This window comes from Homo sapiens, chromosome 1 (genome assembly GCF_000001405.40).
Source record: "Homo sapiens chromosome 1, GRCh38.p14 Primary Assembly".
In the NCBI taxonomy this organism is placed as follows: Eukaryota; Metazoa; Chordata; class Mammalia; order Primates; family Hominidae; genus Homo; species Homo sapiens.
Window position 1 is genome coordinate 39036144 of NC_000001.11, and position 26139 is coordinate 39062282.

A 26139-nucleotide genomic window follows, 5' to 3' on the forward strand; every position below is an offset into this window, starting at 1 on the left:
TGGAGTGCAATGGCATGATCTCAGCTCACTGCAACCTCCATCTCCCAGGTTCAAGTGATTCTCTCACCTCTGCCTCCCGAGTAGCTGGGACTACAGTCAGGTGCCACCACGCCCAGCTAATTTTCATATTTTTAGTACAGACAGGGTTTCACCATGTTGACCAGGCTGGTCTCGAACTCCTGACCTCAAGTGATCCGTGCCCCCTCCCCGCCCCGGCCTCCCAAAGTGCTGGGATTACAGGTGTGAGCCACCATGCCCAGCCTATTTTATTCTTTAATATTAATTTTTTGAGACAGGGTGTCACTGAGACCTAAGTGCAGTGGCATGATGATGGCTCACTGCAGCCTCGACTTCCCGGGCTGCAATGATCCTGCCAGCTCAGCCTCCCAAGTTTCTGGGACCACAGGTATATACCGCCATGCGTGGCTAATTTTTGTATTTTTTGTAGAGACGGGGTATTGCCATGTTGTCCAGGCTGGTCTCAAACTGCTGTGCTCAAGCAATCCACCCACCTCGGCCTCCCAAAGTGCTGGGATTACAGGTCTGAGCCATAGTTAACATGTTTAGAAGCTTCTGGTTTTTGTTTTTGAGATGGAGTCTCACCCAGGCTGGAGTGCAGTTAACACCATCTTGGCTCACTGCAACCTCCACCTCCAAGGTAAAAGAGATTCTCTTGCCTCACTTCCTGAGTAGCTGGGATTACAGGCATGCACCACCGTGCTCAACTAGGTTTTGTATTTTTAGTAGAGACAGGGTTTCACCATACTGGATGTTGGCCAGGCTGGTCTCGAACTTGTGACCTGAAATGATCTTCCCACCTCAGCCTCCCGAAGTGCTGGGATATCAGGCATGAGCCACCGTGCCTGGCTAGAAACATGTTTTTAAAAGAAACAGGCCAGGTGTAGTGGCTAACGCTTACAATCCCAGCACTTTGGGAGGCCGAGGAGGGTGGATCACTTGAGGTTAGGAGTTGTAGGCCAGCCTGGGCAACATGATGAAACCATGTCTCTACTAAAAATGCAAAAATTAGCCATGTGTGGTGGCGGGTGCCTGTAATCCCAGCTACTCAGGAGGCTGAGACAGTAGAATCACTTGAACCTGGGAGGCAGAGGTTGCAGCAACCCGAGATGGTGCCGCTGCGCTCCAGCCTGGACAACAAGAGTGAAACTCCATCTCAAGAAGAAAAAAAAAAGACCCAGATATAGAAAGTATGAAACTGCCTGGGCATGGTGGTTCATGCCTGTAATCTCAGCACTTTGGGAGGCTGAAGCAGGTGGATCACTTAAGCTCAGGAGTTTAAGACCCGCCTGGGGAATGTGGCGAAACCCCGTCTCTACAAAAATTACCTAGTGTGGTGGTGTGCACCTGTAGTCCCAGCTACTCGGGAGGCTGAGGTGGGAGGATTGCTTGAGCCCAGGAGGCAGAGGTTGCAGTGAGCTGAGATTGTGCCACTGCACTCCAGCCTGGGCAACAGAGCCAGACCTTGTCTAAGAAAAAAAAATTATATGGGGTTATAAGGAACCCAGAATATGAAAAAATAATCTTGAAAATGACGAGCATATTTAGAGGACTCAACACTTTCCAATTATTTCAGAACTTACTACAAAGCAGTAATAGTCAAGACTGTGGTGTTAGCATAAGGATAGACATATAGATAGAATTGCAAGTTCAGAAATAAACACATCTATGGTCAATTGATTTTTTTTATTAAAAAATCACAATAGGCAAGCATATGGTCAATTGTTTTTTTGTTTTAATTTTTTTTTTTTTCAGATGGAGTCTCACTCTGTTGCCCAGGCTGGAGTGGTACAATCTTGGTTCACTACAACCTCCACCTTGTGGGTTCAAGTGATTCTCCTGCCTCAGCCTCCCTGTAGCTGGGATTACAGGTGCATGCCACCACGCCTGGCTAATTTTTGTATTTTTAGTAGAGATGGGGTTTCACCATGTTAGCCAGATTGGTCTCAATCTCCTGACCTCAGCCTCCCAAAGTGCTGGGATTACAGGCGTGAGCCACTGCACCTTACTGGTCAGTTGTTTTTTGACAAGAGTGCCAAGACTATTGAATGGTCAACAAGTGGTGCTGGGATAACCAAATAGCTACATGCAAAAGAATGAACTTGGACCTCCTAGTTATACTGTATATAAGTTGAAAGGCCTTTTCCTAGACCCAGCCTAACATTGGATAAAATCAATTCTCCATAAACTCAAGGAGAATTGCCTGCCAGAACAAAAACCAACACTTTCCAGTAAATAACAACAGAAGCCAGAGTCTACAACTTTTGTCATTCACAATATTTAGTATACAACAGACGTGTATACTGTTAATGGGAAATGGGACACACAGTAAAGGAGAAAAGCAGTCAACAGAAACAGAGAAACAGACCCAAAGATGACTCAGAAGTTGAATCAGCAGAGAAGGACTTAAAAATATCTATCAAAAATATATTTGGGCCGTGTGTGGTGGCTCACGCCTGTAATCCCAGCACTTGCAGAGACTGAGGTGGGTGGATCACCTGAGGTCAGGAGTTCAAGACCAGCCTGGCCAACATGGTGAAACCCCGTCTCTACTAATAACACAAAAAGTAGCCAGGTGTGGTGGCATGTGCCTGTAATCCCAGCTACTTCAGAGGCTAAGGCAGGAGAATCACTTGAACCCAGGAGGTGGAGGTTGCAGTGAGCTGAGATCATGCCATTGCACTCCGGCCTGGGTAACAGCGTGAGACTATCTCAAAAAAAAAAAAAAGTTCAAAGACTTAATAGTCATAATGAGTGAACAGACCGGCAATCTTAGAAGAGAAACAGAAACAGAAAAAGACCTTAATGAAAGTCTTACAAAGAACACCTGCAATATCTAAAATGAATAATTTACTACCTAGGCTTAACAACAAATTAGAGGCCGGGCACGGTGGCTCATGCCTGTAATCCCAGCACTTTGGGAGGCCGAGACGGGTGGATCACGAGGTTAGGAGATCGAGACCATCCTGGCTAACACGGTGAAACCCCGCCTCTACTAAAAATACAAAAAATTAGCCGGGCATGGTGGTGGGCGCCTGTAGTCCCAGCTACTCGGGAGGCTGAGGCAGGAGAATGGCGTGAACCTGGGAGGCAGAGCTTGCAGTGAGCCGAGACCGTGCCACTGCACTCCAGCCTGGGGGACAGAGCAAGACTCCATCTCAAAAAAAAAAAAAAAAAAAAAAAAAAGAGGGGAGGCCAGGTGCAGTGGCTCACGCCTGTAATCCCAGCACTTTGGGAGGCCGAGGTGGGTGGATTGCCTGAGGTCAGGAGTTCGAGACCAGCCTGGCTAACATGGTGAAACCTTGTCTCTACTAAAAATACAAAAATCAGGTGGGCGTGGTGGCGCACACCTGTAGTCCCAGCTACTTGGGAGGCTGAGGCAGGAGAATCGCTTGAACCTGGGAGTCAGAGGTTTCAGTGAGCCAAGATCACGCCACTGCACTCCAGCCTGGGACAGAGCAAGACTCCATCACAAAAAAAAAAAAAAAGAAAAAAAAAAGGAAACGTTCAGTGAAGTTGAAGGTAGATCAAAGCATACAAAGAGAGATGGCAAAAAAAAAAAAAAAAAAAAAAAAAAAAAAAAAAAAAAAAGCCAATACAGGAAATCTCAAAATCAGGCTGCTTTAAAGAAGCCAAAAGAAATATATATATACAACCCGTATAGTGTGTATGCACAATAAGATACACACATACACACCATAAGATTCTACTCCCAAGAAATTGAAATTCAAGAACAGGCAAACTAATCTCTGAGGATAGAAAGTAAAACAACAGTTGCCTAAAGAGGGGATAGGGATTGAATGGGAGAGGACATAAGGAACTTTCTAGGGTGATGGAAGTGTTCTATATCCTGAATATAGTGGTGATTAAATGGATATATGCAATCATGGAGTCTCATGAAAGATACCTTTTTTTTTTTTTTTTTTTTGAGACAGAGTTTCATTCTTTTTGCCCAGGCTGGAGGGCAATAGTGCCATCTGGGCTCACTGCAACCTCCACCTCCTGGGTTCAAGTGATTCTTCTGCTTCACCCTCCCGTGTAGCTGGTATTACAGGCATGTGCCACCATGCCCGGCGAATTTTGTATTTTTAGTAGAGACGGGGTTTCTCCATGTTGGTCAGGGTGGTCTTGCACTCCCAGCCTCAGGTGATCTGCCTGCCTCAGCCTCCCAAAGTGTTGGGGATATAGGCATGAGCCACTGCACCTGGCCCTCCAAAGAGGATTTTAGAAGAGAGGAAACCGGTCAAAGGGATTCTTTAAGCCTGTATATGAAGTCCTAGGTAGAGCCCTGATTGACCCATACGTCAAACTGAATAGAATTAACAACAACAACAAACTCAGCAATTAGAATATATAAAAATAGAAGTAGAAAATGTTAAAGTGGGCCGGATGCAGTGGCTCACGCCTGTAATCCCAATACTTTGGGAGGCCAAGGCAGGCAGATCACTTGAGGCCAGGAGTTGGAAACAGCCTGGCCAACATGGCAAAACCCCACCTCTACTAAAAATACAAAAAATTAGCCAGGCAGGGTGGTGCATGCCTGTAATCCCAGCTACTCAGGGTCAGGCGCAAGAATCACTTGAACTCAGGAGGCAGAGGTTACATTGTGCTGAGATCGTGCCACTGCACTCCAGCCTGGGGGACAGAGTAAAACTCGGTTTCAAAAAAACAAAACAAACCTTTTGTTCATCAAAGGACACTATGAAGAAAATGAATAGGCAAGCCAAAATTGAGAGAAATGTTCAAAATACATATATCTGACGAAAGTCTTGTGTCTAAAATATGTCTGTGTGTTTACACCGGTGTATATTACTCGTATCTGCAAATCTGTAATTAAAAGGCTCACAATACAATTTTCTTTAATATGATGGAGTTTTGCTCTTGTTGCCCAGGCTGGAGTGCGACGGCATGATCTCAGCTTACCGCAACCTCCGCCTCCCGGGTTGAAGCGATTCTCCTGCCTCAGCTGCTGAGTAGCTGGGATTACAGGTATGTGCCACCACGCCCAGCTAGTTTTGTATTTTTTTAAATAGAGATGGAGTTTCTCCATGTTGGTCAGGCTGGTCTTGAACTCCCGACCTCAGGTGATCTGCCCGCCTCGGCCTCCCAAAGTGCTGAGATTACAGGTATGAACCACTGCGGTCAGCCAATACAACTTTTTAAAAATGACAAAATACTTGAACAGATATTTTCCTAAAGGAAGATATACAAATAGCCAATAAGCACATAAAAAGATAATATCATTAGTAATGTGGAAAATGCAAATTACAACCATGCTGAGATACCACCTTACATCCACTGGAATGTCCAAAATTTTTGAAAAACTGACATCGCCAAATGTTGCTGAAGATGTAGAGCGTCTGGAACTCTCTTACATTGCCAGTAGGAATATAACATGATACAGCCAATTTGGAAAACTGTTGGCCTGTTTTTTATGAAGTTTAACATACACTTACCACATGACTAAGAACCTTCATTCCTAGATATTTTCTCAAGATAAATGAAAATGTATGTTTAAATAGACACTTGTACGTGAATGTTCATAGCAGCTTATAATAGCAATAATAATTATTATTGTCGTTATTTTTTCAGATGGAGTCTTGCTCTGTCACCCAGGCTGGAGTACAGTGGCACAATCTTGGCTCACTGCAACCTCCACCTCCTGGTTCAAGCGATTCTCCTGCCTCAGCCTTCCAAGTACCTGGGATTACAGGCACACGCCACCATGCCCAGCTAATTTTTGTATTTTTAGTAGAGTCGAGATGTCACCCTGTTGGCCAGGCTGGTCTTGAACTCCTGACCTCAAATGATCTGCCCGCCTTGGGCTTCCAAAGTGCTGGTATTACAGGCATGAGTCACTGCACCCAGCCCAAAAGTTTCTTATTTAATTGACAAAATCTTATATATTTATCATGTACAACACACTGTTTTGAAATATGTATATATTGTAGAATGGCTAAGTCAAGCTAATTAATATATGCATTATCCCATATACTTTCATTTTTGTGGTGAGAACACAAAATCTTAGTAATTTTTAGGAATACAATACACTGGCCAGGTGCGGTGGCTCATGCCTGTAATCCCATCACTTTGGGAGGCCGGGGAGGGGTGGATCACTTGAGGTCAGGAGTTTGAGACCAGCCTGGCCAATATGGTGAAACCCCGTCTCTACTAAAAATATAAAAATTAGCCGAGCGTGGTGGCACACACCTGTAATCCCAACTACTCAGGAGGCTGAGGCAAGAGAATTACTTGAACCTGGGAGGCGGAGGTTGCAGTGAGCTGAGGTTGCACCACTGCACTCCAGCCTGGGTGACAGAGCGAGACTCCATCTCAAAAAAAAAAAAAGAATGTAATACATTGTTATTAACTAGCATCACCATGTTGTACAACAGTTCTCTTGAACATATTCCTCCAGTCTAATTGAAATTTTGTATCTTTAGACCAACATCTCTCCGTCTACCCTCCCCAGGAGATAGAAATTCCTTATCCACAAGGATGGAGACAATGTTGGTCAACCCACTTTCATTTACTTAACATTACTTTTATTCTAGGTGTGGCATCTGGCATGAAACCAAGGACAAGACACTCAGTTGAGCTTTGTGAAAGAGTGACAGATGATGGATAGAGTCATGGGCCTGCCTCTTATGGAGCTAAGAAATGAAATCTGGATACGGGTAATCAGTTTGTGGTAGAAAGTAGTCACTCATTTCCGTGAGGGAAGCACAAGTCCTGTGTAGGCCCAGAGAAGGGAAAAAGCCTTTTTGGGCATAAGAGTGAATGTTGAGGGTTGGAGAGAGGAATGGTCTGGAGGCTTTGTAGCATTCATGTTGTGCCCTAAAGGACAGATAACATTTGGACATGAGAAGCTGTAGTGAGCCATGACTGCACCACTGCACTCCAGGCTGGGCGACAGGTTGAGACCCTGTCTCAAAAAAAAAAAAAAAAAAAAAAAAGAAGAAGAAGAAAGAAGATTTGGACATGAAGAGATGCCAGGCATTACAGACAGAGAATACAGTATGAGCAAAAGCATGGAGGTTTTTTTGTTTTTTGTTTTTTGTTTTTGAGATGGAGATTTTTGCTCTTTTTGCCCAGACTGGAGTGCAATGGCATGATATTGGCTCACTGCAACCTCCACCTCCTGGGTTCAAGCAATTCTCCTGCCTCAGCTTCTAGAGTAGCTGGGATTACAGGTGCACACTACCACGCCCAGCTAATTTTTGTATTTTTATTAGAGATGGGGTTTCATCATGTTGGTCAGGCTGGTCTCGAACTCCTGACCTCAGGTGATTGTCCTGCCTCAGCATCCCAAAGTGCTGGGATTACAGGCATGAGGCACCGCGCCCAGCCAGCATGGAGGTATTTGAGAGCAACAGTGATCAGAACCATTTGGTTCAAGCAGCGGTTTTAAAACGGAAGTGGAGAAGGAATTAGCAGATCCCTGACATCCTCTTCAATCAGAGTTCCTCCATTGTGAACTGGTTTACATGTCAGCATTATGGATTTTGGTGCAACACCTGCCCCCAACAGGAAGAAAAGAAGAAAAAGAAAGAAGAGGAAGGAAGAAGAGAAAGACAAAGAAGAAGAAGGAGGAGGAGGCGGCAGGAGGAGTAGGAGGGAGGAAGAAGGAGGAGGAAGAAAAAGAGGAAGAAGAAAGGAGGAAGGAAGAAGAAAGAAGAATTGGGAGGCTGAGACAGGCAGATCACAAGGTCAGGAGTTCAAGACCAGCCTGGCCAACATGGTGAAACCCCATCACTTCTAAAAATACAAAAATTAGCTGGGCGTGTTGGCACATGCCTATAATCCCAGCTACTTGGGAGGCTGAGGCAGGAGAATTGCTTGAACCTGGGAGGCGGAGGTTGCAGTGAGCAGAGAGCTCGCCACTGCACTCCAGTCTGGGCAATGAGCGAGACTGTCTTGAAAAAAAAAAAAGGAAGGAAAGAAGGAGGAGGAGGAGAAGAAAGAAGAAGTTTTATTATTGTTATTTTTTGAGATGGAGTCTTGCTCTGTAGCCCAGGCTGGAATACAGTGGCACACTCTTGACTCCCTGCCACCTCTGACTGCTGGGTTCAAAGGAGAAGGCGGAAGAAGAAGGAAGAAGAAGAAAGAAGGAGAAAGGCTGGGTGCAGTGGCTCACACCTGTAATCTCAGCACTTTGGGAGGCCGAGGCAGGTGAATCACAAGGTAAGGAGTTCGAGACCAGCCTGGCCAACTGGTGAAACCCTGCCTCTACTAAAAGTACAAAAATTAGCCGGGCGTGGTCTGAGGCAGGAGAATCGCTTTAACCTGGGAGGAGGAGGTTGCAGTCAGTCAAGATGGCGCCACTGCACTCCAGCCTGGGTGACAGAGTGAGACTTTGTCTCAAAAAAAAAAAAGGAAAGAAGGAGAAGAAAGAAGGAGGAGGAGGAGGAGGAGGAGAGAAGGAGGAGAAAAGTAGTTGAGGCCCAAACACCAAGAGGGAGCAAAGATTGAAAAGATGAGATGAGCCATGAAAGCAAGTACAGGAGTTACTGATGGTACTGGGGAGCCCGTGTAGGTTTAGGATCTGAGCTTTTGGAAGATTGATTGGGTAGCCTTTGAGCCACCTGATAAGTGGAAAGAACAAGAGAGGCTGGATCTGTGTTTTCAGGAAGCATATGTTGGCCCAGCAATTGCTGGCTTGTAGTGAGGAGGCACACAACTGGCCTAGGACAGTGGTCATGAAAATGCAGAGGAGGTAAAGTCCCTGCACTCCTAGGGAGACTAGTCCTGATGTCAGTCTGGAGTCAGTCAGAATGGTGTCCTCTCCCTCCCTGCACTACCCAGCCCAGTCAGTGGGAGGACTTCCTCAATTCCAGTAGCCATTCAAGTCCCTGGAATTGGTGGCTGTCACTTGCAAACTATAGCCACTTGAGCAGAAATGGGCCAGGATTACTTATCTTTAATCTGCATATCATTGGGAGGCACTTACCTGCTAGCTCTGGCTAAAAACTAGAGCAACCCTGGCCTGCCGTAGCTCCTGCTGCCCAGACAACTCCTCCAATATGAAAGGGATGAGGGGAACTCAAAGTTACAATGTCCTACTTGGAGCAGTAAGTTCAGTAGACATATCACTTGCCTCATTAACATCAAGCATCCCAAAACCCAGTCTGGGTCAGTTTTGCCCAGAGTGGGGTTTGTAGAACACGGGTTCTCCTGGGATCCTATACCTAGCCCAGAATCAGTTGCAAAAGCCAGGCCATAGCGAATTGTCCTGCCAGCCAGATAGCAGAGAATCTGACGGCAGCAGGCAGAAGGAGCCGCTCCATTGCAGTAAGCCAAGATCGCGCCACTTGCCTCATTACATCAAGCATCCCAAAACCCAGTCTGGGTCAGTTTTGCCCAGAGTGAGGTTTGTAGAACACGGGTTCTCCTGGGATCTATACCTAGCCCAGAATCAGTTCCAAAAGCCACGCTTTTGGACTTTCTCTCTCTCTCTCTCTCTATATATATATGTGTGTGTGTGTGTGTGTGTGTGTGTGTGTGTATACACACACATACATACAATGTTGTATATATTGTATATGTGTGTGTGTGTATATATATATATATATATATTTTTTTTTTTTTTTTTTTTTGAGACAGAGTTTCACTCTTGTTGCACAAGCTGGAGTGCAATGGCACGATTTCGGCTCACTGCAACCTCCGCCTCCTGGGTTCAAGTGATTCTCCTGCCTCAGCCTCCTGAGTAGCTGGGAGTACAGGCGTGCACCACCGCGCCCGGCTAATTTTTGCATTTTTAGTAGAGATGGGGTTTCACCATGTTAGCCAGGATGGTCTCGATCTCCTGACCTCATGATCTGCCCACCTCGGCCTCCCAAAGTACTGGGATTACAGGCATGAGCCACCATACCCGGCCTTCATTTTTATATTTTTAGTAGAGACAGGATTTCACCATGTTGGCCAGGCTGGTCTCGAACTTCTGACCTCAGGTGATCTGCCCACTTCAGCAGCCTCCCAAGTGCTGGAATTACAGGCGTGAGCCACCGCCTGGCCAATTTTTTGTATTTTTAGTAGAGACAGGGTTTCACCATGTTGGCCAGGCGGGTCTTGAACTCCTGATCTCAGATGATTAATCCACCTCAGCCTCCCAAAATGCTGAAATTACAGTGAGCCACCATGCCCAGCCTCTGAGTCAAAGTTTCTTTAATTGCAAAGTAGAGATCATTGTTTTTTTTTTGCTTTTTTTGTTTTGAGATGGAGTCTCGCTGTGTCACCCAGGCTGGAGTGCAGTGGTGTGATCTCAGCTCACTGCAACCTCCACCTCCCAGGTTCAAGTGATTCTCCTGCCTCAGCCTCCCGAGTAGCTGGGACTACAGATGTGCGCCACCATGCCCGGCTAATTTTTTGTATTTTTAGTAGAGATGGGGTTTCACCGTGTTAGCCAGGATGGTCTCGATCTCTTGACCTCGTGATCTGCCCGCCTAGGCCTCCCAAAGTGCTGGGATTACAGGCACAAGCCACCGTGCCCAGCCTGAGATCATTCTTACTTCACAGGATTTCCCTGATAATTAAGTGAACACACACACACACAGCATCTAACACAAAATACTTTGTACACAGTAGATACTAGACAAAAGATAACCATGGCTACTGCTGTTTCTTTTTTCTCCTCCTCCTGCCTACCCTTCCCCCTCATCCTTTTATCTATGGCCAAGCCCTCCTGAAGGGTCTCTTTGAATCGCGTTACCTCCTAGTTTGACACCAGTGCTCTTATTTCCCTGTGGCATTGGAGGGCTAGTCACATGGCACTGTGGCCAAGGAGAAGGATGATGTTCCAGGCCAAACACATCTGCAAATGTGTTGAGCTGGTGTCCTTGATGACAAATCAAATTGTTTTGTGTTTGGTTCCCCAGAGGCCTGAGTACCTCAGAGAAGCCAAGGTTCCTGCAGGAACCTCGTGCCTGCTGTCCACGTTGGGCTTCATTTTATCAAAATACAGCAAAGAGCTCATCATTTCTCAGCTCCTGTCGGAAGCAACAGTGGCTGTTCCTGGACACAGAGCTGCAGACAAGGAGTGGTGAGGATTCAGGCAAGAGAAGATGGGCAGCTTCCCCTTCATGCTTCCCTCTCAGGAAGAAGCCAGGGTGCCTGGGATCAAAGAGGCTAGGAGGCTGGTGAGGCCTCCTGTCCCTGAAAGCGGTCAGTGAACCCAAAAGTTGAAAAGCCTCTGCTTTGAGAGTGGTTCTGCTGCCCTACTGGTGCTGACAGTTTTAGAAACTGACATGGCAGAGCTGACCAGGCAGACTATATTTTTAGGACTCTGCTGGGGCCTATTGAAACGTCCACATTACTCAGATCACCAATCTGGCTGGAGCTACCAACACAGCATTCTTTGCTGTTTTAGAATACAAAGCTACCTCCCCTCGGGGCTTCACTTTGCAGCCACTGAGAATCCAAGGCTTCGCTAAATTACACGTTTCCATGGTCCCACTGGCTTGCTTTGCAGGGCTTCCACAAGAATGGGCTGGGAGCGTAACTGAGTAACTGAGTCATGATTAGGGGTTAATTAAGAGGAGAAATGGGCTAGCTGTTTCCTAAGATAAGGGAGGGGAAGTTTTTTTAAAAACTGTAACTGCTCAGAACAGTATGTGCTAAGGCAGACTTTCTGTGCTGGGAGACAGAACACTTCTGCAGTGATGTAGCAGAATCCTTAAAGGATCCTGCCAATGACTCTTTTTTTCTGGTGTCACATCCAATCTTTGCTGCAGCCAACACTTCCTGGAGATGAAACACAACTTCAATACAGAGATAGCAAGTTCACACTCTGGCAGTCATGCAAGGATGAGTGATGCGGGCCTTTTCTAAGTGAGTATGAACGGGTGGGACCTACGGTAAATTCAATGCAGTATAATCCGTCTACGGGGCAGTGGGCACCCAGCAACAGCCAACTGTTACCAAATCAAAGTGCAGGCCCAGGATGACTCATCTTCCAGCATTTCATGAGCAACCAGAAGTCTACATTTCTTTGAGAAAAAAAATTTTTTTGAGACGAGGTCTTACTCTGTTGCCCAGGCTGGAGTGTGTAGCTTCTACCTCCCGGGGCTTAGGTGATTCTCCCACCTCAAGTCTCCCAAGTAGCTGAGACTGCAGGCATGTGCCACCACGCTGGCTAATTTTTTTTTTTTTTTTGAGTCGGAGTCTCGCTCTGTCCCCCAGGCTGGAGCGCAGTGGCGCGATCTCGGCTAACTGCGAGCTCCGCCTCCCGGGGTTCGTGCCATTCTCCTGCTTCAGCCTCCCAAGTAGCTGGGACTACAGGCGCCCGCCACCACGCCCGGCTAATTTTTTTGTATTTTGTAGTAGAAACGGGGTTTCACCATGTTAGCCAGGATGGTCTCGATCTCCTGACCTCGTGATCCTCCCGCCTCGGCCTCCCAAAGTGCTGGGATTACAGGCGTGAGCCACCGCTCCCGCCCCATGCCAGCTAATTTTTTTGTAGAGACAGGGCTTCGCCATGTTGTCCAGGCTGGTCTCCAACCCCTAGGCTCCCCGCCTTGCCCTCCCAAAATGTGGAGATTACAGGTGTGAGCCACAATGCCTGGCCATTTTGAGGAATTTTTAAACACTGGCTTTAATTTTTCAAAGTATCTGGAGCAACTTCTGCTTCTGAGAGATAGAGTAGATATTCTTTTCCCCAGTCCTCCTGCTAAGTACAGCTAAAAACCCCAAAAACACTCTATATTATACAAAATGAACATAAGATGACTCTGAACAAGAAGAAAGCAGATTGGTTAGGGACCTCCAGATCCAAGGAATGACTCAGCAGTGACCTCCCTAAGTTTTCTTTTTGCCTCATATATGTCAGAATGGGTACTGGAGAAGCCAGCAACCCAAAACTGCCAACGATTGCAGACAAAAGCCCCAAGAAAAGCTTGTCTTTTTTTTTTTTTTTTTTTTGAAAGAGTGTCTTGCTCTATCGCCCAGGCTGGAGTGCAGTGGTGCAATCATGGCTCACTGCAGCCTTGATCTCCCAGGCTTAAGCTGCTTAGACTACAGATCTGCGCCACCATGCCTGACTAATCAATACAGTTGTTTTTTTTTTTTGAAACGGAGTTTCACTCTTGTTGCCCAGGCTGGAGTGCACTGGCGCGATCTCAGCTCACTGCTGCAACCTCTGCCTCCTGGGCTCAAGCAGTTCTCCTGCCTCACCTCCTGAGTAGCTGGGATTACAGGCATGCACCATCACGCCCTGCTATTTTTTGTATTTTTAGAAGTAGAGATGGGGTTTCACCATGTTGGTCAGGCTGGTCTCAAACTCCTGATCTCAGGTGATCCGCCCGACTCGGCCTCCCAAAGTGCTGGGATTACAGGCATGAGCCATCGTGCCCGGCCTTTTTGTTTTTTTTGTTTGTTTGTTTGTTATGTTTTTTTGTAGAGATGGGGGTCTCACTGTTTCCCAGGCTGATCTCAAATTCCTGGGCTCAAGCAATCCTCTGGCCTCAGCCTCCCAAAGTGCTGGAATTATAAGCGTGAACCATGGTGTCCTGCAAGTCTGCTTTCTGAGTCAAAGGACAAGAAAATAAACAGCCTAGAAAGACAGACAGCCTTGATTTTTTTATTTTTAGTTTTCATTTGGTTTGATTTTTCTTGAGACAGAGTCTCACTCTGTCGCCCAGGCTGGAGTGCAGTGGCACGATCTCGACTCACTGCAACCTCTGCCTCTCGGGTTCAAGCAGTTCTCCTGCCTGCCTCAGCCTTTCGTTCGGCCTCAAATGATCCGCCTGCCTCAGCCTCCCAGAGTGCTGGGATTACAGCCATGAGCCACTGCATCCAGCCGACAGACAGCCTTTAGACTATAGCCCCTCTACTCCAGCCCCACCCTCACCCCCATCAGCAAAGGCCAAGTGGAAAGCCTAGATCTCCAAACCTTGTTAGGCTGTAATGAAGTACTCCTTCCCTTCCCCACCAGGGTGATGTAGAAGAGGCCTAGTTATCCACTCAGGCCTTTCATCCATAATCAAGGCCACCTCTCCCAACAATGTCGGTGGAGGCCCACTCCCTCTCCCAGCCGGTGTGGTATCAGTGAATGCCTAATAGAGAAACTGGACTCCCACCCCTGCCCAGCAGTAAGAAGGAGCCCTGCCAACACCGGTGTCAATGGAGGCCAAGTGGAAAACCTGGACTTCCACACCCTCCTGGTAAAAATAAGGTAGCATCCGCACTTTCCCCACAGAAGCAATGTTAGAGGAGGCCTGCTGAAACACAAGCTATAAAGTAAGATCCAGAGGCTGGGCGCAGTGGCTCATGCCTGTAATCCCTGCACTTTGGGAGGCTGAGGTGGGAGGATTGCTTAAGCCCAGGAGTTCAAGACCAGCTTGGGCAACATACGGAGACCTTGCTGCTACAAAAAAACAAAAAACAAAAAAATTAGCTGGGCATGCTGATGCCTGCCTGTGGTCCTAGCTACTTGGGAGGCTGAGATGGGAGGATTGCTTGAGGCCAGAAGGTTGAGGCTGCAGTGAGTCATGACCCCACTGCACTCCAGCCTGAGTGACAAGGTGAGACCCTATCCCAAAACATTAAATAAGATCCAGAGTCTTATAACATGATGTGCAAAATGTCCAGGTCTTAAAGTCATTTGAACCGGAACCAGAAAATTTTGAATAAGAAAGGATAATCTATATACACTAACACCAAAATGACACAGATATTAGAATTATCTGAAAAAGATTTTGAAGTAGCCATCATAAAAATGCTTCAATGTATATAACGTGTTCAAATACAAACATACTTGGAACAAATGAAAAAATGGAAAGTCTGGAAAATATAATGTCTCAACAGATCGATACATAAAGAAGAACCAAATGGAAATTTTAGGAATAAAAAATACAATGATTGAAATTTAAAACTCAATGAATAAGCTCAGCAACAGAATGGAGAGGACAGAGGAAAGAATGAGTTTGAAGACAGAAAACTACAAATTATCCAATCTGAACACTAGGGAAAAAAAATAGAATGGAAAAAAAAAAAAACAGAGCCTCAGGGCCATGTGAGACAATAACATAAGATCTAACATTCATGTCATTGGAGTCACAGAAGGAGAAGAAATATTAAAAGAACAAATAGCCGAAATTTGCCCAAATTTTGCAAAAGACAAACTGACAGATTCACATAGCTGAGCAAACCTCAAACAGGATATGCCCATGAGAAAACACATCATAAACTTCTCAACATATACTTTTTTTTTTTTTTTTTTTTTGAGATGGAGTCTCCCTCTGCTGTCCAGGCTGGAGCACAGTGGCACAATCTCAGTTCGCTGCAACCTCCGCCTCCTGGGTTCAAGCGATTCTCTTGCCTCAGCCTCCCAAGTAGCTGGGACTATAGACGTGTACCACCATGCCTGGCTAATTTTTTGTATTTTTAGTAGAGATGGGGTTTCACCATGTTGGCCAGGCTGGTCTCGAAATCCTGACCTCAGGTGATCTGTCCGCCTCAGACTCCCAAAGTGTTGGGATTACAGGTGTGAGCCACCCGCACCCAGCCACAAATTCTTGAAAGCAGCCAGAGAGAAATGATACATTACCTATAGGGGGAAAACAATTCAAATGATGCTGAATTTCTCGTAAGGCACCATGGAGGCCAGGAGGAAGTGGAACAACATTTTTTTTTTTAGACAAGAGTCTTACTCTTTCACCCAGGGTGGAGTGCAGTGGCGCGATCTTGGCTCACTGCAACCTCCGCCTCCCAGGTTCAAGCAATTCTTCTGCCTCAGCCTCCCAAGTAGCTGGGGCTACAGGCGCGCCACCATGCCTGGCTAATTTTTGTATTTTTAGTAAAGACAGGAGTTTCACCATATTGGCCAGGTTGGTCTCGAACTCATGACCTCGTTATCTGCCCACCTCGGCCTCCCAAAGTGCTGGGATTACAGGCCTGAGCCACTGCGCCCAGCTGGAACATTTTTGAAATGCTGAAAGAAAAGAACTATCAACTTGGAATCCCATACCTGGTGAAACAATCCTTCAGGAATTGGGGGGAAGGGCTGTGGGGGAGGAAATCATGACATTCTTACATGAGGGAAAAACTAAGGGAATTTGTCACTGGCAGATTTACTTTATAGGGATTACTAAAGGCAATTCTCTAAACAAAGGGAGTGGTAACAAAAGGAATCTTGGAACATCAGGCAGGAAAAAAGGACAAAAAGAGCAAACATACAGGTCAATACAATAGATTGTCTTTTTCCTCTTGAGTATTCTAAATTATGTTCAACAGTTGAAGCAAAAATTACGCTTGTCTAAGTGGCTGTCCATATATGTAGAGGAAATACTTAAGATAGTTACATTATAATGGGAGAGTAAAAGGACACAGAAAAAGGTTTCTTTCTTTATTTGTAATCTGGTAGAACTTTCCAGAGGTATAGAGGTAATGTTTCTACCTTTCACTCAAACTGGTAAAATGTCAACACCAGTAGACTGTGATAAGTTACTGCACTCCAGCCTGGGCGACAGAGCGAGACCTTGCCTCAAAAAGGAAAGAAAAAAAAGAAAAAAAGAAAAGAAAAAGGAACACATACCAAACTTAAATGTGTACGTACCAAACAACAGACTTGAAAAATAAGTGAACCTGGCCAGGCGCGGTGGCTCATGCCTGTAATCACAGAAGTTTGGGAGGCCAAGGCAGGTGGATCACCTGAGATCAGGAGTTCGAGACCAGCCTGGCCAACATGGTGAAACCCCGTCTCTACTAAAAATACAAAAATTAGGCTGGGCGTGGTGGCTCACGGCTGTAAACCCAGCACTATGGGAGGCCGAGGTGGGTGGATCATAAGGTCAAGAGATTGAGACCATCCTGGCCAACATGGTGAAACCCCGCCTCTACTAAAAAAATACAAAAATTAGCTGGGTGTGGTGGTGCACGGCTGTAAACCCAGCACTTGGTAGGCTGAGGCAAGAGAATCGCTTGAAGCTGGAAGGCAGAGGTTGCAATGAGCCGAGATCATGCCATTGCACTCCAGCCTGGGCAATAAGAGTGAAACTCCATCTCAAAAAAAAAACAAAAACCCCAAAAAACAAAACAAGAAAAACTATTAGACAGAAAGTCAACAGGGCTGAGTGTGTGGCTCACACCTGTAATAGGATATAGAATTTAACACTACCATTAGCCAACAGGATGTAATCAGCACTTATAGTACATCAACAACAAAAAAAACACATTCTTTTTAGGCACCCATGAAACATGTATCAAGATCAACCATATCTTGGGTTATAAAACAAACCTCAACAAATTTAAAAGAATTGAAATCATACAGAGTGTATGACCAAAATGGACTCAAACTTAGAATTAATAACACAAAGACAATCTCCAGGAAGATCTTCAAACACTTGAAAACTAAATAACACATTTCTAAGTAATCTATGAACCAAAGAGCAATCCTCAAGAGAAATACAAAATTCATTAACCTGAATGAAAATGAAAATACAATGTATCAAAATTTGTAAGATACAGCTAAATCACAACTAGGAAGGAAATTAATAGCACTAAATGCTTACATTAGAAAAGAGGAAAAAAACCTCAAATCAATAATACAAGCTTCCACCTCAGGAAATTAGAAAAGAACAAAATAAACCCTAAACAAACAGAAAGAAGGAAAAGAAGAGAAATCTATATAATTGAAAACAGAAAAACAGTAGAGAATACCAACAAAACAGAAAACTGGTTCTTTGAAAAAATCAATAAAATTGACAAATCTTTTATTTTCTTTTAATTGAGACAGCCTCTCGCTCTGTTACCCAGGCTAGAGTGCGATCACAGCTCACTGCAGCCTCAACCTGCCGGGCTCAAGCAGTTCTCCTGCCTCAGCCTCCTAAGTAGCTGTGACTACAGGTGCATGCCAATATGCCTGTCTAATTTTTGTATTTTTTTTAGAGACAGGGTTTCACCATGTTGCTCAGACTGGTCTCGAACTTCTGGGCTCAAGCTGTCCACCCACCTCAACCTCCCAAAGTGCTCAGATTACAGACGTGAGCCATTGCCTGAGGCCAAATTGACAAATCTTTAGCAAGGCTGACCTAAAAAGAGAGAGAGAGGCTGGGTGCGATGGCTCATGCCTGTAATCCTAGCACTTTGGGAGGCCGAGGCAGATGGATCACTTGAGCTCAGGAGTTCAAGACCAGCTTGGGCAACATATCAAAAACCCAACCCTGCCTCTACAAAAAATACAAAAATTAACCAGGCACGGTGGCACACGTGTAGTCCTGGCTACTTGGGAGGCTGAGGTGGGAGGATCCCATAAACCTGGGAGGCGGAGGTTGCAGTGAGCCGAGATCATGCCACTGCACTCCAGCCTGGGCAGCAGAGTAAGACTTCATCTCAAAAAAAAAAAAAGTTATTTTTATAGAGACAGGGTCTTGCTATGTTGCCCATGCTATCCTTGAACTCCTGGGCCCAAGTGATCCTCCAGCCTCAGCTCTCCCAAAGTGCTGGGATTACAGGCATGAACCACTGTGCCCACCCCATACATTCTTCATATCAGGAATAAAACAGAAGCTATCACTACAGACTCTGCAGATAACGATAGGATAATAAGGGAATTTTATTGTATTGTTTATTTATGTATTTATTTTTTGAGACAGAGTCTCGCTCTGTCACCAGGCTGGAGTATGGTGGCGTGATCTCGGCTCACTACAATCTCTGACTCCCTGGTTCAAGTGATACTCCTGCCTCAGCCTCCCAAGTAGCTGGGATTACAGCCACGCGCCACCACGCCCAGCTAACTTTTGTATTTTTAGTAGAGACGGGTTTCACCATGTTGGCCAGGATGGTCTTGAACTCCTGACTTCGTGATCTGGCTGCTTGGACTCCCAAAGTACTGAGATTACAGGCATGAGCCACCGTGCCTGGCCCTGGAAATTTTATAAACACACATTTGTTTTATATGTTACTAACACACATTTGACAACTTAGATGAAATGGACTAATTCCTTAAAAAATAAAAACTACTACAACATACCCGATATGAAGTAGATAATTTCAGTAGCTTTATAACTATTAAGGACATTGAATTTGTAATTTAAAACTTCACCCCCAAGAAATCTTTACTCCAGATGATTTCAGTGGAGAATTCTATCAAACGTCTAAAGAATTAACACCGATTCTACAAATCTGATCCAGAAAATAGAAGAGATGAAGCATTTCCTAAGTCATTTTATGAGGCCCATCTTACCCATATCAAAACCAGACAAGGAAAATACAAAAAAGATGACTACAGACCAATGACCTTTAATAAGAACACAGACACAAAAATCCTTAACAAAACATCAACAAATAGGCCAGGCACGGTGCCTCATGCCTGTAATCCCAGCACTTTGGGAGGCTGAAGTGGGTGGATCACCTCAGGTCAGGAGTTGGAGACCAGCCTGACCAACATGGTGAAACCCTGTCTCTACTAAAAATTAAAAAAAATGAGCTGGGCGTGGTGGTGCGTGCCTGTAATCCCAGCTACTCCGGAGGCTGAGGCAGGAGAATCACTTAGAACTCGGGAGGTGGAGGTTGCAGAGAGCCAAGATCGTGCCACTGCACTCCAGCCTGACTCTGTCTCCATAAATAAATAAATAAATAAATAAATAACAAATAGAGGCCGGGCACGGTGGCTCACGCCTGTAATCCCAGCACTTTGGGAGGCCAAGGCAGGCGGATCACCTGAGGTTGGGAGTTCGAGACCAGCCTGACCAATATGGAGAAACCCCATCCCTACTAAAAATACAAAATTGGCCAGGCACAGTGGCTCATGCCTGTAATCCCAGCACTTTGGGAGGCCTAGGTGGGCGGATCACGAGGTCAGAAGTTCAAAACCAGCCTGGCCAACATGGCAAAACCCCGTCTCTACTAAAAATACAAAAATTAACCAGGCATGGTGGCAAACACCTGTAATCCCAGCTACACAGGAGGCTGAGGCAGGAGAATTGCTTGAACCCGGGAGGGGGAGGTTGCAGTGGGCCAAGATCGCACCATTGCACTCCAGCCTGGGTGACAGAGCGAGACTCCATCTCAAAAATAAAATAAAATAAAAAATACAAATACAAAATTAGCCGGGCATGGTGGTGCATGCCTGTAATCCCAGCTACTCGGGAGACTGAGGCAGGAGAATTGCTTGAACCTGGGAGGCACAGGTTGCCGTGAGCGGAGATTGTGCTATTGCACTCTAGCCTGGGCAACAAGAGGGAAACTCCGTCTCCAAAGAAAAAAAAATGAATAGAATTCAGCAATATATGAAAAGAATTATATACTATGACCAGGTGGGGATTATTCCAGGGATGCAAGGCTAAGTCAATATTCAAAAATCAATCAATGAAAAAAAATCAATCAATGTATTCCACCCTGTTAACAGGCTAAAGAAAAATCAATTGACAGAGAGAAAGCACTTGACAAAATTCCGTACCCATTCATAATAAAAACTCTCAGGAAACTAGAAATAAAAGGGAATTTTCTCAATTTGATAGAGTATCTACAAAAAACCTACAACTAGCATCATACTTCACAGTGAGAGACTGAATGCTTTCCCCCTGACTGAACACAAGGCAAGCATGTCCACTCTCACCAATCTTATTCAACACAGTGCTGGAAATTGTAGTCTGTGTAATAAGAATAGGAAAAGAATTTTAAAAGCATACATATTGGAAAGAAAGATATCAGGCGGTCCTTATAATGGCATGATGGCCTTTATAGAAAATTTCATGAAATCTAAAAAAAAAAAAAAAGCTAGAACCAGTAAGTGAATTCAGCAAGGTCACAATACAAAATCAACATACAAATATCAACATATATATATTAGCAATGAAAACACGGACATCAACATTTAAAACATAATATTTATAATCACAGAAAAAGGAAATATTTAGGTATGAATCCAGTAAAACATGTACAAGACTCATATGATGAAAACTAGAAAATGGTGTTGAAAGAAATCAAAGAAGATCTAAATAGACAGATATACTGTTTTCATGACTTCAAAGACTCATCACAGTAAGGATGTCAATTCTCCCTAAATTAATATACAAGTTTAGTGCAATTCCTATCCAAATCCCAGCATGATTTTTGTAAATAAAGATTATTATAAAATGTATGAGGAAAGGCAAATAAACTAGAATAGCTGAAACAATTTTTTTTTTTTTTTTTTTTGAGCCAGAGTCTCACTCTGTCACCCAGACTGGACCACAGTGGCGTGATCACAGCTCATTGCAGCCTTGACATCCTGGGCTCAGGTAATCCTCCTACCTCGGTCTCCCAAGTAACTGGGACCACAGGTGCGTGCCACCACGCCTAGCTAATTTCCTTTTTTTTTTTTTTGAGACGGAGTCTTCCTCTGTGGCCCAGGCTGGAGTGCAGTGGCATGACCTCGGCTCACTGCAAGCTCCGCCTCCCAGGTTCACGTCATTCTCCTGTTTCAGCCTCCCGAGTAGCTGGGACTACAGGCACTCGCCACCACGCCTGGCTAATTATTTTTGTATTTTTAGTAGAGACGAGGTTTCACCGTGTTAGCCAGGATGGTCTCCATCTCCTGACCTTGTGATCCGCCCATCTCGGCCTCCCAAAGTGCTGGGATTACAGGCGTGAGCCACCGAGCCCGGCCCAGGCCCAGCTAATTTTTAAAAATTATTTTTTATACAGACAAGGCCTTCCTGTGTTGCCCAGGGTGCTTGAATTCCTGGACTCAAGCAATCCTCCCACCTCAGCCTCCCAAAGTGCTAGGATTACAGGCATGAGCCACTGTGCCCAGCATAAAATAATTTTCATTAAAAAAACTTTTTTTGAGACAAGGTCTTGCTCTGTCACCCAGGCTGGAGTGCAGTGGCACAATCTTGGCCCACTGCAGCCTCCCGAGTAGCTTCAACTGTAGACATGTGCCACCACACCCAGCTAATTTTTCAATTTTTTGTAGAGACGGGGTTTTGCCATGTTGCCCAGGCTGGTCTTGAACTCCTGAGCTCAAGCAATTGTCCCAACTTGGCCTCCCAAAGTACTGGGACTACAGGCGTGCACTACCACACGTGGCCTAAAATATATTTTTAAAAAGAAGATTAAGCCGGGCGCAGTGGCTCACGCCTGTAATCCCAGCACTTTGGGAGGCTGAGGCGGGTGGATCACTTCAGGAGTTTGAGACCAGCTTGGCCAACATGGTGAACCACCATCTCTACTAAAAATACAAAAAATTAGCCAGGTGTGATGGCAGGTGCCTGTAATTCCAGCTACTCGGTAGGCTGAGGCAGGAGAGTTGCTTGAATCTGGGAAGCAGAGGTTGCAGTGAGCTGAGGTCGTGCCATTGCACTCCATGCACTCCAGCCTGGGCAACAAGAGCGAGATTCCATCTCAAAAATAAAAAAATTAAAAAGGCTGGGCATGGTGGCTCACGCCTGTAATCCCAGCACTTTGGGAGGCTGAGGCAGGCAGATCACGAGGTCAGGAGTTCAAGACCAGCCTGACCAACATGGTGAAACCCCATCTCTACTAAAAATAAAAAAATTAGCCCGGCATGGTGGCGTGCACCTGTAATCCCAGCTACTTAGGAGGCTGAGGCAGGAGAATAGCTTGAACCGGGGAGGTGGAGGTTGCAGTGAACCGAGACTGCACCATTGCACACCAGCCTGGGCGACAGAGCGAGACTCCATCTCAAAAAAAAAAAAAAAAGAAGATTAAAGTGGGAGGAATCACTGCCTAATTTCAAGAATACAGCTATAGTAATTATGACTGTGGGGTATTGGTGGATGGAAAGACACATCAATCAATGGAAGACAATAGAGGACCCAGAAATACCCCATGCAATACAGTGGAGGAAGGATAGTTTTGTCAACAAATGGTACTGAAGCAAATTGATGTTCATAGGAAAAAACAAAAAACAACTCCACAGAAATTGGCTTTCTGTGATCTGATACAGCCTGCCTAGAAGCAGAAGTTCTGGCTGCCCATCACACTGTTTTTAGTAAACCTAGAGTTTTATTTGAAATATTGAGTCTGGCCCAGGCGCGGTGGCTCACGCCTGTAATCCCAGCACTTTGGGAGGCCGAGGCAGGTGGATCATGCGGTCAGGAGATCGAGACCATCCTGGCTAACACGGTGAAACACCCTCTCTACTAAAAATACAAAAAATTAGCCAAGTGTGGTGGCGGGCGCCTGTAGTCCCAGCTACTTGGGAGGCTGAGGCAGGAGAATCACTTGAACCCGGGAGGCGGAGGGTGCAGTGAGCCAAGATCGTACCACTGCACTCCAGCCTGGATAACAGAGCAAGATTCTGTTAAAAAAAAAAAATTATAAAAGATGGAAAAGATGGAGAGCCACCAAGGAAGCAATAATTCTGCATCTAGACTGCCTTCAGACTTGTTCAGACTTGAACTGCAACATCAACTCTTCCCTGGGTCTTTAGCTTGCTGGCCAGTTCTGCAGATTCAGATTTGCCAGCCCCCACAATAAGACAATTCCTTTAATTGCCTTAGTTCTGATGAATACAGAGATCTAGGCTGGGTGCAGCGGCTCATGCTTGTAATCCTAGCACTTTGGGAGGCTGAGACAGGCGGATCACTTGAGGCCAGGAGTCCAAGACCAGCCTGACCAACATGACAATACCCCATCTCTGCTAAAAATACAAAAAAATTAGCCAGATATGGTGGCATGCAACTGTAATCCCAGCTATTCTTGAGGCTGAGGTACAAGAATCATTTGAACCCAGGAGGCAGAGGTTGCATGAATGCTGCTGAAAAAAAAAAAAAGTAAAATAAAAATGTAAAAGTGACCATTAAAAAAAAAAGCAACCAACCTAAACCTCATGCCTTATACAAAAATTAACTTAAAATGGAACAGGTTTAAATGTAAACTGTAAAGTTATAAGATGTTTAGAAGACAAGATAGAAGAAAATCATCAGGACCTAGGAGTCTTTCCCCAGGGCTCAGGGAAAAGTTCTCAGACATGATGCCAAAAGCAAGAACCATAAAAGAAAAAATATATACATAATTGGACTTCATCAAAATTACAAACTTTTGCTCTGTGAAAGACCCCATTAAGAGGATGAAAAGACAAACTACAAAGTGAGAGAAAATATTTGCAAACCATATATCTGACAAAGGACTTATATTTAGAATATATATAAAGAACACTCAAGGCCGGGCATTGTGGCTCACTCCTGTAATACCAGCACATTGGGAGGCCAAGGCAGGCAGATCACTTGAGGCCGGGAGTTTGAGACCAGCCTGGCCAATATGGTAAAACCCAATCTCTGCTAAAAATACAAAAATTAGCTGGGCACGGTTGTGCATGCCTGTAATCCCAGCTATTCAAGAGGCTGAGGCACGAGAATCACCTGAACCCAGGAGGCAGAGGTTGCAGGGAGCCGAGATTGCACCACTGCACTCCAGCCTGGGCTACAGAGCTAGACTCTGTCTCAAAAAAAAAAAAAAAAAAAAAGGTTGGGCGTGGTGGCTCAGGCCTGGAATCCCAGCATTTTGGGAGGCCGAGGCGGGCGGATCACGAGGTCAGGAGATTGAGACCATCCTGGCTAACACGGTGAAACCCCATCTCTACTAAAAATACAAAAAAATTAGCTGGGTGTGGTGGCAGGTGCTTGTGGTCCCAGCTACTCAGGAGGCTGAGGCGGGAGAATGACATGAATCTGGGAGGCGGAGCTTGCAGCGAGAGCCACTGCATTCCAGTCCAGCCTGGGTGGCAGAGCAAGACTCTGTCTCAAAAAAAAAACAACAAAACAAAACAAAACAAAACACTCAAATCTCAACAGTAAGAAAAACACCAGATAATCCCATTAGAAAATGTGCAAAAAAAAAAAAAACTTAAGATATTTCCCCAAAGAGAATATACAGAAGGCAAATAAACACGTGAAAGAATGTTAACATAACTATCCATTAGGAAAATTAAGACCATGATGAGATACCATTACATACTTGTGAGAATAGCTAAAATAAAAAAATAGGGCCAGGCGTGGTGGCTCGTGCCTGTAATCCCAGCACTTTGGGAGGCTGAGGCAGGCAGATCACTTGAGTCCAGGAGTTGGAGACCAGTCTGGCCAACATAGTGAAACCCTGTCTCTACTAAAAATACAAAAATTAGCTTGGCATGATGGTGGTGCACACCTGTAATACCAGCTACTTGGGAGGCTGAGATAGGAGAATTGCTTGAACCTGGGAGGTGGAGGCTGCAGTGAGCCGAGATCATGACACTGTACTGCAGCCGGGGTGACAGAGTGAGACTCTGTCTCAAAAAATAATAATAAAATAAAAAAAATAATAAAACAGAATACCACATGCTAGAGGATGTGGACAATTGAATCTTTTTTTTTTTTTTTTTTTTTCTGAGATAGAGTCTTGCTCTGTCACCCAGGCTGGAGTGCAGTGGCACGATCTTGGCTCACTGCAACCTCCGCCTCCTGGGTTGAAGCAATTCTCCTGCCTCAGCCTCCCAACTAGCTGGGATTACAGGCATGCGCCACCACACTTGGCTAATTTTTGTATTTTTAGTAGAGATGGGTTTCACCATATTGGCCAGGCTGGTCTCGAACTCATGACCTCGTGATCTGCCCGCCTCAGCCTTCCAAAGTGCTGGTATTACAGGCGTGAGCCACCATGCCCGGCCAACAATTGAATCTTTCATACATTACTGTTGGGAATGTAAAATGGAATAGCCACTCTGTAAGCTAATTTTGTATTTTCATTTATTTATTTTTAAGAGACAAAAACTTGGAGTGCACTGGTGCCATCATAGCTTACTGCAGCCTCCAACTCCTGGGCTCCAGCAATCCTTCCACCTCACCCCACCGAGTAGCTGGGACTACAGGTGTGCACCCCAAAGTCTGGCTAATTTTTTAATTTTTAATTTTTGTACACATAGGGCCTAATTACGTTGCCCAGGCTGGTCTTGAACTCCTGAGCTCAAATGATCCTCCTGCCTTGGCCTCCCAGTGTGCTGGGATTACAGGCATGAATCACCATGCCCGGCCCTACTATTTGCTTTAAACACTAAACATTCCCTTACCATATGACCCAGAAATTTTCCTACTTGGCATTTATCCCAGATAAATGAAAACTTATGTTCACACGAAAGCCTGTACATGATTTTTCATAACACATTTATTTGTAATAGCCAAAACCTGGAAACAACCAAAATGACCA

General features: G+C 45.2%; 1 long non-coding RNA gene across 6 annotated transcripts, besides 2 other annotated features; it reads left to right on the plus strand.

Annotated features, from left to right (window-relative positions):
* LOC124904088 (uncharacterized) lies at positions 1874 to 25730 on the plus strand. Of its 6 annotated transcripts, none has more exons than XR_007065964.1 (3): positions 1874 to 1889; positions 6573 to 6695; positions 10893 to 13575. It is a non-coding gene; the product is annotated as an uncharacterized LOC124904088 (long non-coding RNA). The 6 variants fall into 6 exon arrangements; XR_007065957.1 differs by lacking the exon at positions 1874 to 1889 and adding an exon at positions 4958 to 5007; XR_007065970.1 differs by lacking the exon at positions 1874 to 1889 and adding an exon at positions 25698 to 25730 and having other exon boundaries at positions 6338 to 6695; positions 10893 to 11844.
* Positions 2637 to 2896: an enhancer, noted in NCBI's record as "active region_800". NCBI's record gives its function as "activates an Ori minimal core promoter by ATAC-STARR-seq in GM12878 lymphoblastoid cells {active_cell/tissue: GM12878}" and the evidence as "EXISTENCE:reporter gene assay evidence [ECO:0000049][PMID:35858748]".
* Positions 15819 to 16320: an enhancer, noted in NCBI's record as "NANOG hESC enhancer chr1:39517634-39518135 (GRCh37/hg19 assembly coordinates)". NCBI's record gives its function as "activates a minimal SCP1, AML or CMV promoter by ChIP-STARR-seq in primed H9 embryonic stem cells {active_cell/tissue: H9 hESC(primed)}" and the evidence as "EXISTENCE:reporter gene assay evidence [ECO:0000049][PMID:30033119]".
* Positions 25731 to 26139: the final 409 nt, after the last annotated feature.